The 12,220-nt window shown below is 39.8% G+C and overlaps 1 annotated feature.

The window, feature by feature from the left end:
• Positions 9,711 to 10,293: an enhancer, noted in NCBI's record as "H3K27ac-H3K4me1 hESC enhancer chr3:145645870-145646452 (GRCh37/hg19 assembly coordinates)". NCBI's record gives its function as "activates a minimal SCP1, AML or CMV promoter by ChIP-STARR-seq in primed H9 embryonic stem cells {active_cell/tissue: H9 hESC(primed)}" and the evidence as "EXISTENCE:reporter gene assay evidence [ECO:0000049][PMID:30033119]".

Below are 12,220 nucleotides of genomic sequence, written 5' to 3'. Positions count from 1 at the left end.
CAAATGTTATTTAGCACAGCAGTGCTAAAGAGAATCAGGCATGTTAACAGGTACAGCACAAATTTACCAAGTGGTTGGAAGGATCAAAGGTTAAAGGATGGTTAAGTAATTATATATTTTATAAGGTTAAAGGTGAGCATAAACCCCCTTGGAGATCACAAGAGAATTCAGGTACCAGTCTAGAGACAGCTGGAAGGCATTTTTTCAGAGTTTCATTAGGTAATGGGTGAAGAGAGATTGGACTCATCATTATTAATAGACAGAAGGAACGGAACTAGTCTGAGGAAGGTCTTCACAATGAAACTAAAGCTGTAGATCCTGCATGTTCTCTGACCATGTTTGCATGGCAGGTGGCCATCCACAGCTGTTTGAATGAAGTATGTTACTACTAAAGGAGTGAATGTATTTATTTGGAGCCACTAAGCATTTAAAACTGTATTTAAATGTCAATCAAATTCTCCCTTCTCTGTACCCAGGCAATTCCCTTCCATGAAACTAAGAATCCCATAGGCCTTCCCCTAAGATGGTAAATATTTGTATATATGCAAATCAAAATCTGGAAGGGATCTTAAAAAATTTATATTCCAACTCGCTCAGAGAAAATACTATCCTAGAAAAGTTGTTTCTTATACATTGCTACAGTTAAAGAGAGCACGGATGAAAATTATAGTTTCTTACTTCATTTGCAGGATAATGTACTCTACCCCTTGTCTGAGAAGTGATGAAGAGGTGGAATGGAAAAAAAACCCGAACAAAAACATTTCTGTATCCTCTATGTTATTTAAATTTTTTTCTTCTTGTTAAAATCCCTATGAGACATGTGTTTTCTCACTTTGTCATTAAACCCACATTGAAAATTGAGAAACAAATCTTGTTCCATAAAAAAAAAGTAGTAAATGAACATAATAGAAGTAAGTTTGTTGATTTTCCAAGTAACTGACCAGGGCTTCCACAGGCTCACATATTAGAAGGTTCGGTTTTTAAAATGGTTTTCTATGTCTAACTGTTTTGTAGATGCTTTTACCTAGTATTATTTCCAGAGACACATATTGTAGATACGTAGGCAGTTTTCAAAAAAAGTTACTATTTGGGAAACTGGAAGTCACGGGTGGTCCTCTGACCGCTTACATGAACTGATGCATGTGATTGTATGGTACTGAAAGACAGAGGGTATTGTGTAATTCCGTACTACTGCATATGCTATTTTTAGACCCGCCTATTACTCTGAGGTTCTCTATAATAATGACACATCTACGCTTCATCAAGATGTCATTAAAAAGATGAAAGAAGACTTTAGAAAGTAAAACAAATGTGGTAAACATAGAAAAATACATAAAAATGGAGTAAGAAGGATGTCTCAGAATTCTATGATTAAACCCATCTGGAAACATTGACTTTTTCTTTTACTCTTTTATTTAACCTTTTATTTTACAAATAGCTAGCTTTAAGTAGCTTATGATTACGTGCACATGCATTTAAAGTATTGAAAATTCAGTGCTGATTAATGTTGAATGTTATTGAAAGATCACTCTATCAGTGTCCCAGTGTGAGATAGAATTCCATTCAGATGGTTCCACTGAAGACTTTAATGTAAGGACTGCTTGCCGAGGTAAGGGCAGGGACAAGGGAGTCAACGAGTAAGATGGAGGCAAGCAAAGATCATTGTGAATCAATGGAAAACTGTTATTACTCCTAGGCCTGAAGGGACAAAAGGAGAAAATAATGCACTGAAGACCTGGTAAGAAGTAGAACCATGGATAAAGGACCGCCTCTTAGGGGCTGCAACCATAGCGGCACGGAGGCAATGCCAGGAAACACTGACCTTGTGTGCTGGGGGTGGGGAGGTCAAAAAATATATTTATGGGAAAAAAAAATTACCCTAATACCCCAACCTTTCTCCTCCCCTCCATAATCTCCTGCCCATGCCTTCCTTTGGCCAAATCCACTGAAAACTAAACAACAAGAAATCTGGGTGATACATTTTATAAGGGCCCACCACCTGTGGACCAGCAAGACAGAAAAAAGATGGAAGATGAAACTGAAAAGATAAAGAATTTCCGCTGCAATATCAGAGGTTAAGAATCACATAGCTCTTTCCACTGATCCAAGCCAGTAGAGCAATGATGAGTGAAAGCTTACTTCATGCAAAAGAAGGGGAGTGCATGATGACGCTACAGATACAGCCATTCCAGTGGGAAAAATTTAATCTTAACACAGTATGCCAATCTGGGTATGCACTACTTGCTTCTGGTGTTCTCTTTACTACTTGAGAGTAGATGGGAAAGGTTGATATGTAGGAAACCCTGTTAATAGCAGAAAACTCGAAGGTATGTTCATGGGGAGAAATCAAGATTTAGGTATAATATCATTTTCTTGGGAGTCAAGGTGTCCTGTTGTGCCACTGGCTGGATTGTGTGACTTGGCTACTTCTCTGAAAATCAGTTAACATGCTATAAAACAAAAAGGCTTGACTCTAAAAAGTCTCTGGTTTTAAAATGTTATGAGTTTATTTCTGAATGGAAAGGAAAGCAAAATGGTTTCCGACTTTCACACACCATTCAAACGATACTGTAGACACCAAATGTCAGGGATTTTCCCCCACACATCCAGCAATTATCCAGCAGATTCCAGGTGAGTACCCTCTAATTCACTTCCATTCTGGATACCATCAGATCCCACAGGCTAAAAGCTCAGTCTCATAAGACTACCCCTTACTTCACATGCCAGTCGCAAATTCTAGGTTGTGACTTGTGGTTCTTACGGACCAGCGATAAATTGGGGGTTCACATAATCACTTTCTCAGGCTTGATTAATTTGCTAGAGCAGCTCATAGAATTCAGGGAAGCACTTATTTATGTTTACCCCTTTATTAGAAAGGATATTACAAGGGATACAGATGGACAGCCAGATGGAAGAGATGCAATAAAGGAGATACTGGGGAGGGGCATGGAGTTTCCATGACCTTTCCGTGCATGCTGCCCTCTCTATGTGTTATCCAACCTGGAAGCCGTCTGAATTCTGTCCTTTTGGTGGAAGCTTTGTTACCTAGGCATGATTGATTATATCATTGGCCATTGGTGATCAGCTCAACCTGTATCCCCTCTCTTCTTCCCGGAGGTTGGAGGGTGGGGCTGAAAGTGCTAATCCTCTTCTCAGACTTTGGTCTTTCTGGTGACCAGCCTCAGCCTGAAGATGTCCAGGGACCCCCCAGCTGCCAGTCATTTCATAAGCATACAAAACTCTTACCACTTGGGAGACTCCAAGGGTTTAGGAGCTAAGTGCCAGGAACCAGGGGCAGAGTCCAGATATGTGTTTTTCTCATTATATTAGAGTTATCACAGAGTTTTTCTATCACAGGGTTTTTTCTATCACTGGTAAATTGATACCACCTTATCCTTGTTTTATTTATCCCAGACTTTGGTGTCACACTAGATTCTTCCTTCACCTTTCCTAATGCGTATAACCAAATTCTGAATTTTTTTCCTCTGACATTATACTCAAGTTTGCTCTTTCTCCTCCACGCTGTTTTGACTCAGGCCTGATGACTTCACAGCTGGAGCACTGGTGGCAACCTCCTTAGGGCCTGAACAATTCATCCTTTTTATGCTGAATTGTTACAAAGAAAGAATTATTACTAGTGAAATCTTCTGAGAGTAGAATGGATTGTTAACAAAGTAAACACATAAAAGTAAACTAAAATACCCCTATTTTGGTTTAAGTCCAACAGATGTTTACCAAGTGTGTACTATTTTACTAGACATTACATGTTGGGGATGAAACAGTGAAAGATATTGACCCTGTCCTTGGAAGGTCCACAGTTTAGATTTTAGCTGTTGAAAATATATAAGGGTTTGGGGGGGGAGGGGTTAATGCTTCTTTAACAGAATGTTAATTTTGTTGAAATATATATATTATACACACACACACACACACACACACACACACACACACACAAGGTATAACCATGATTCAAACAAAACATAAAATGAACATGTTACAAGTTTCACTTAATTTGTTAATTAATTAGGTGTTGTGGGCTGAATCGTGCCCTCAAAAAGATATGTTGAAGTCCTAATCTGTATACCTGTGAAAATAACTTTATTTGGAAATAGGGTCTTTGTAGATTTATCAAATTAAGATAAGGTCATACTGGATTAGGCTGGGGCCTAAATCAAATGACTAGTGTCCTTATAAGAAGACCATGTGAAGGCAGGGACACAGACACAGGAGAGACGGCCATGTGACAACAGAGGCTTAGTTTGGATTGATGTAGCTGCAAGCTCTGGAAGGCCAAATATTGCCAGCAACCACCAGAAGCTAGGAAAAGGCAAGGAAGAATTCTCACCTAGAACTTTCATGGAGAGCGTGGCCCTGCTGACACCTAATTTCAAAATTCTAGCTTCCAGAATTTTAAGATAATAAATTTATTTTGTCTTAACTCACGAAGCTTGTGACACTTTGCTTTAGCAGCCCTGGGAAATTAATACATGAGGGCACTCGTAAAACACCTAAAACCAGTTTTAAGGAAAACACAAAGAGCAGATAATCATATTCAGGCAATCAGGAATGCCAAAATTAATTTTGTTTTTTATTATACTTTAAGTTTTAGGGTACATGTGCACATTGTGCAGGTTAGTTACATATGTATACATGTGCCATGCTGGTGTGCTGCACCCACTAACTCGTCATTTAGCATTAGGTGTATCTCCCAATGCTATCCCTCCCCCCTCCCCCCACCCCACCACAGTCCCCAGAGTGTGATATTCCCCTTCCTGTGTCCATGTGATCTCATTGTTCAATTCCCACCTATGAGTGAGAATATGCGGTGTTTGGTTTTTTGTTCTTGCGATAGTTTACTGAGAATGATGACTTCCAATTTCATCCATGTCCCTACAAAAGATATAAACTCATCATTTTTTATGGCTGCATAGTATTCCATGGTGTATATGTGCCACATTTTCTTAATCCAATCTATCATTGTTGGACATTTGGGTTGGTTCCAAGTCTTTGCTATTGTGAATAATGCTGCAATAAACATACGTGTGCATGTGTCTTTATAGCAGCATGATTTATAGTCATTTGGGTATATACCCAGTAATGGGATGGCTGAGTCAAATGGTATTTCTAGTTCTAGATCCCTGAGGAATCGCCACACTGACTTCCACAATGGTTGAACTAGTTTACAGTCCCACCAACAGTGTAAAAGTGTTCCTATTTCTCCACATCCTCTCCAGCACCTGTAGTTTCCTGCCTTTTTAATGATTGCCATTCTAACTGGTGTGAGATGGTATCTCATTGTGGTTTTGATTTGCATTTCTCTGATGGCCAGTGAAGTTGAGCATTTTTTCATGTGTGTTTTGGCTGCATAAATGTCTTCTTTTGAGAAGTGTCTGTTCATGTCCTTTGCCCACTTTTTGATGGGGTTGTTTGTTTTTTTCTTGTAAATTTGTTTGAGTTCATTGTAGATTCTGGATATTAGCCCTTTGTCAGATGAGTAGGTTGCGAAAATTTTCTCCCATGTTGTAGGTTGCCTGTTCACTCTGATGGTAGTTTCTTTTGCTGTGCAGAAGCTCTTTAGTTTAATTAGATCCCATTTGTCAATTTTGTCTTTCGTTGCCATTGCTTTTGGTGTTTTGGACATGAAGTCCTTGCCCATGCCTATGTCCTGAATGGTAATGCCTAGGTTTTCTTCTAGGGTTTTTATGGTTTTAGGTCTAACGTTTAAATCTTTAATCCATCTTGAATTGATTTTTGTATAAGGTGTAAGGAAGGGATCCAGTTTCAGCTTTCTACATATGGCTAGCCAGTTTTCCCAGCACCATTTATTAAATAAGGAATCCTTTCCCCATTGCTTGTTTTTCTCAGGTTTGTCAAAGATCAGATAGTTGTAGATATGCGGCGTTATTTCTGAGGGCTCTGTTCTGTTCCATTGATCTATATCTCTGTTTTGGTACCAGTACTATGCTGTTTTGGTTACTATAGCCTTGTAGTATAGTTTGAAGTCAGGTAGCATGATGCCTCCAGCTTTGTTCTTTTTGCTTAGGATTGACTTGGCGATGCGGGCTCTTTTTTGGTTCCATATGAACTTTAAAGTAGTTTTTTCCAATTCTCTGAAGAAAGTCATTGGTAGCTTGATGGGGATGGCATTGAATCTACAAATTACCTTGGGCGGTATGGCCATTTTCACGATATTGATTCTTCCTACCCATGAGCATGGAATGTTCTTCCATTTGTTTGTATCCTCTTTTATTTCCTTGAGCAGTGGTTTGTAGTTCTCCTTGAAGAGGTCCTTCACATCCCTTGTAAGTTGGATTCCTTGGTATTTTATTCTCTTTGAAGCAATTGTGAATGGGAGTTCACTCATGATTTGGCTCTCTGTTTGTCTGTTGTTGGTGTGTAAGAATGCTTGTGATTTTTGTACATTGATTTTGTATCCTGAGACTTTGCTGAAGTTGCTTATCAGCTTAAGGAGATTTTGGGCTGAGACGATGGGGTTTTCTAGATATACAATCATGTCATCTGCAAACAGGGACAATTTGACTTCCTCTTTTCCTAATTGAATACCCTTTATTTCCTTCTCCTGCCTAATTGCCCTGGCCAGAACTTCCAACACTATGTTGAATAGGAGTGGTGAGAGAGGGCATCCCTGTCTTGTGCCAGTTTTCAAAGGGAATGCTTCCAGTTTTTGCCCATTCAGTATGATATTGGCTGTGGGTTTGTCATAGATACCTCTTATTATTTTGAAATACGTCCCATCAATACCTAATTTATTGAAAGTTTTTAGCATGAAGGGTTGTTGAATTTTGTCAAAGGCTTTTTCTGCATTTATTGAGATAATCATGTGGTTTTTGTCTTTGGCTCTGTTTATACGCTGGATTACATTTATTAATTTGCATATATTGAACGAGCCTTGCGTCCCAGGGATGAAGCCCACTTGATCATGGTGGATAAGCTTTTTGATGTGCTGCTGCATTCGTTTTGCCAGTATTTTATTGAGGATTTTTGCATCAATGTTCATCAAGGTTATTGGTCTAAAATTCTGTTTTTTGGTTGTATCTCTGCCCGGCTTTGGTATCAGAATGATGCTGGCCTCATAAAATGAGTTAGGGAGGATTCCCTCTTTTTCTATTGATTGGAATAGTTTCAGAAGGAATGGTACCAGTTCCTCCTTGTACCTCTGGTAGAATTCGGCTGTGAATCCATCTGGTCCTGGACTCTTTTTGGTTGGTAAACTATTGATTATTGCCACAATTTCAGCTCCTGTTATTGGTCTATTCAGAGATTCAACTTCTTCCTGGTTTAGTCTTGGGAGAGTGTATGTGTCGAGGAATTTATCCATTTCTTCTAGATTTTCTAGTTTATTTGCGTAGAGGTGTTTGTAGTATTCTCTGATGGTAGTTTGTATTTCTGTGGGATCGGTGGTGATATCCCCTTTATCATTTTTATTGTGTCTATTTGATTCTTCTCTCTTTTTTTCTTTATTAGTCTTGCTAGCAGTCTATCAATTTTGTTGATCCTTTCAAAAAACCAGCTCCTGGATTCATTAATTTTTTGAAGGGTTTTTTTGTGTCTCTATTTCCTTCAGTTCTGCTCTGATTTTAGTTATTTCTTGCCTTCTGCTAGCTTTTGAATGTTTGCTCTTGCTTTTCTAGTTCTTTTAATTGTGATGTTAGGGTGTCAATTTTGGATCTTTCCTGCTTTCTCTTGTGGGCATTTAGTGCTATAAATTTCCCTCTACACACTGCTTTGAATGCGTCCCAGAGATTCTGGTATGTTGTGTCTTTGTTCTTGTTGGTTTCAAAGAACATCTTTATTTCTGCCTTCATTTCGTTATGTACCCGGTAGTCATTCAGGAGCAGGTTGTTCAGTTTCCATGTAGTTGAGTGGCTTTGAGTGAGATTCTTAATGCTGAGTTCTAGTTTGATTGCACTGTGGTCTGAGAGATAGTTTTTTATAATTTCTGTTCTTTTACATTTGCTGAGGAGAGCTTTACTTCCAACTATGTGGTTAATTTTGGAATAGGTGTGGTGTGGTGCTGAAAAAAATGTATATTCTGTTGATTTGGGGTGGAGAGTTGTGTAGATGTCTATTAGGTCCACTTGGTGCAGAGCTGAGTTCAATTCCTGGGTATCCTTGTTGACTTTCTGTCTCGTTGATCTGTCTAATGTTGACAGTGGGGTGTTAAAGTCTCCCATTATTAATGTTTGGGAGTCTAAGTCTCTTTTTAGGTCACTCAGGACTTGCTGTATGAATCTGGGTGCTCCTGTATTGGGTGCATATATATTTAGGATAGTTAGCTCTTCTTGTTGAATTGATCCCTTTACCATTATGTAGTGGCCTTCTTTGTCTCTTTTGATCTTTGTTGGTTTAAAGTCTATTTTATCAGAGATGAGGATTGCAACCTCTGCCTTTTTTTGTTTTCCATTTGCTTTGCAGATCTTCCTCCATCGTTTTATTTTGAGCCTATGTGTGTCTCTGCACGTGAGATGGGTTTCCTGAATACAGCACACTGATGGTTCTTGACTCTTTATCCAATTTGCCAGTCTGTGTCTTTTAATTGGAGAATTTAGTCCATTTACATTTAAAGTTAATATTGTTATGTGTGAATTTGATCCTGTCATTATGATGTTAGCTCGTTATTTTGCTCGTTAGTTGATGCAGTTTCTTCCTAGTCTCGATGGTCTTTACATTTTGGCATGATTTTGCAGTAGCTGGTACCGTTTGTTCCGTTCCATGTCTAGCGCTTCCTTCAGGAGCTCTTTTAGGGCAGGCCTGGTGGTGACAAAATCTCTCAGCATTTGCTTGTCTGTGAAGCATTTTATTTCTCCTTCACTTATGAAGCTTAGTTTGGCTGGATATGAAATTCTGGGTTGAAAATTCTTTTCTTTAAGAATGTTGAATATTGGCCCCCACTCTCTTCTGGCTTGTAGGGTTTCTGCCGAGAGATCCGCTGTTAGTCTGATGGGCTTCCCTTTGAGGGTAACCCGACCTTTCTCTCTGGCTGCCCTTAACATTTTTTCCTTCATTTCAACTTTGGTGAATCTGACAATTATGTGTCTTGGAGTTGCTCTTCTCGAGGAGTATCTTTGTGGCGTTCTCTGTATTTCCTGAATCTGAACGTTGGCCTGCCTTGCTAGATTGGGGAAATTCTCCTGGATAATATCCTGCAGAGTGTTTTCCAACTTGGTTCCATTCTCCCCATCACTTTCAGGTACACCAATCAGACGTAGATTTGGTCTTTTCACATAGTCCCATATTTCTTGGAGGCTTTGCTCATTTCTTTTTATTCTTTTTTCTCTAAACTTCCCTTCTCGCTTCATTTCATTCATCTTCCATTGCTGATACCCTTTCTTCCAGTTGATCGCATCGGCTCCTGAGGCTTCTGCATTCTTCACGTAGTTCTCGAGCCTTAGTTTTCAGCTCCATCAGCTCCTTTAAGCACTTCTCTGTATTGGTTATTCTAGTTATACATTCTTCTAAATTTTTTTCAAAGTTTTCAACTTCTTTGCCTTTGGTTTGAATGTCCTCCCGTAGCTCAGAGTAATTTGATCGTCTGAAGCCTTCTTCTCTCAGCTCGTCAAAGTCATTCTCCATCCAGCTTTGTTCTGTTGCTGGTGAGGAACTGCGTTCCTTTGGAGGAGGAGAGGCGCTCTGCGTTTTAGAGTTTCCCGTTTTTCTGTTCTGTTTTTTCCCCATCTTTGTGGTTTTATCTACTTTTGGTCTTTGATGATGGTGATGTACAGATGGGTTTTCGGTGTGGATGTCCTTTCTGTTTGTTAGTTTTCCTTCTAACAGACAGGACCCTCAGCTGCAGGTCTGTTGGAATACCCTGCTGTGTGAGATGTCAGTGTGCCCCTGCTGGGGGGTGCCTCCCAGTTAGGCTGCTCGGGGGTCAGGGGTCAGGAACCCACTTGAGGAGGCAGTCTGCTGGTTCTCAGATCTCCAGCTGCGTGCTGGGAGAACCACTGCTCTCTTCAAAGCTGTCAGACAGGGACATTTAAGTCTGCAGAGGTTACTGCTGTCTTTTTGTTTGTCTGTGCCCTGCCCCCAGAGGTGGAGCCTACAGAGGCTGGCAGGCCTCCTTGAGCTGTGGTGGGCTCCACCCAGTTCGAGCTTCCAGGCTGCTTTGTTTACCTAAGCAAGCCTGGGCAATGGCGGGCGCCCCTCCCCCAGCCTCACTGCTGCCTTGCAGTTTGATCTCAGACTGCTGTGCTAGCAATCAGCGAGATTCCGTGGGCGTAGGACCCTCCGAGCCAGGTGTGGGATATAATCTCGTGGTGCGCCGTTTTTTAAGCCGGTCTGAAAAGCGCAATATTCGGGTGGGAGTGACCCGATTTTCCAGGTGCGTCCGTCACCCCTTTCTTTGACTCAGAAAGGGAACTCCCTGACCCCTTGCGCTTCCCAAGTGAGGCAGTGCCTCGCCCTGCTTCGGCTGGCGCACGGTGCATGCACCTACTGGCCTGCGCCCACTGTCTGGCACTCCCTAGTGAGATGAACCCGGTACCTCAGATGGAAATGCAGAAATCACACGTCTTCTGGGTCGCTCACGCTGGGAGCTGTAGACTGGAGCTGTTCCTATTCGGCCATCTTGGCTGCTATCACATCCCAAAATTAATTTTTTAAAGTGATGTAAATGTACCTTCTTGAAGGAGAATTGTTTTATTTCCTCCAGACAAAATTCATTTACATCTCCAAGGACAAGAACTGTTTATGATGCAATTAGGATTCTACAATATACAGAGTCAAAAAATAATCCAAAAATGAAAAGGTGCAGATATCTATAGATTGGGACAACCTGTGGTGGACACCATAGGATGCCCAGTAATCTCTCTCCACTCTTCTCTCTTTCTCTCTCTCTCTCTTTCTTTTTTGCCTTTTCAATGTCTTTTTATAATTTAATCAAAATCAGAAAATTGATCAATGATAAATTACCCATAAGTTACTCATTTGAAATAAATTCCTGTGTTGAAATACGTTTCACTTTTTATTTTCAGTCCATTGTTATTGCAACAATTTTCTTACCAAAACCTCTCTTTCCCCAGATGTGCACTGGCACCCTATACCCTACCACATCCTATTTATGTTCCTTGTTTATCAATCTTCTTTACATTTATTTGTGTTCTATCTTCTAACATTGTCTTTTGCTTATCCTCAATAGTTTTTCAGTATTGTAAGATAGGATAGCTCTCAAAGAAAACTCATTCATTTTATGCTTGGTGCATGAGTTCTCAGAAGTTGCTTCTTCTCCTCTGGCCTCTCCCCTCCCTCATCCATCTCTGTAGACATTAGTCAATCTTCAAAGTCACTTTCTAGTGCCCTCTTTTTGATCTGACTTCTGAATGCTCCATCTACTCTCAGGTCTCCCTTTACTAAACTTCCATTGAATGTCATTCATCTACAGCATTGTGATCTTGATTGTTTTCTTATTTTATATGTATTTAACTCTTTCACCATATGAGAGCCACACACTGGCAGGGGGCAGATGTGTGTGTTTGCCAGCACATTAACTGTAAAATTAAACTTGATTTTCTTTATGAAGAACACATTTTTCTTTTCATTTTTTTTCACTGTATCCTGTCACTATACATTGGGCATTCATACCCTTATGCTCTTCTCCTGGATCCAAAAGGCATTTGATTTTGGTCCCTCATTACAGAGACTGAAAAATATGAGTGACTTGCTATCAGGAGCCTTATTTAATAATATACATATATCTTTTGGGTAGACCCTGGCTCAGCTGTGTGTGTACGTTTGCTACATGTGGATTTATTCTTTTTATAATTGAATCAGAACAGAAATAAACCCTTCGGCTATGTGAAAAGCCAAAGATAATAACATGAATTCACATTTGTATATTTTAGAACTTGCAAATATTTGTATAAACACTTTCTCATAATTATCTGATAAGGTAGATATTATAATGTCTAGTTTATAAATGGGGGACCTGAGTCCCAGAATAATTAAATGCCTTACTGAAGCTCACACAGCTAATAAGCAACAGGTCTCTTTTTTTCTTTTTACATCATCTGAAAAAATTCAAGTAAATGAAAATGCATGCCCATGCTTTTGTTTCTACTGGAAAGGAAAATTACATTAAAAATGCTGCAGGAATTTTAATGGAGCATTTTACTGCCTTACACTGAGAAAGCGAAAGTAGGAAAATCTTTAGTTAGCTTCGCAAATCACCTGAAAGCGTTCTATCCGTAAAAGTAGTGTTTGG

This window comes from Homo sapiens, chromosome 3 (assembly GCF_000001405.40).
Source record: "Homo sapiens chromosome 3, GRCh38.p14 Primary Assembly".
Classification (NCBI taxonomy): domain Eukaryota; kingdom Metazoa; phylum Chordata; class Mammalia; order Primates; family Hominidae; genus Homo; species Homo sapiens.
Note: the sequence above shows the minus strand (reverse complement) of the source record. Positions and strands in the feature narration are given on the sequence as shown.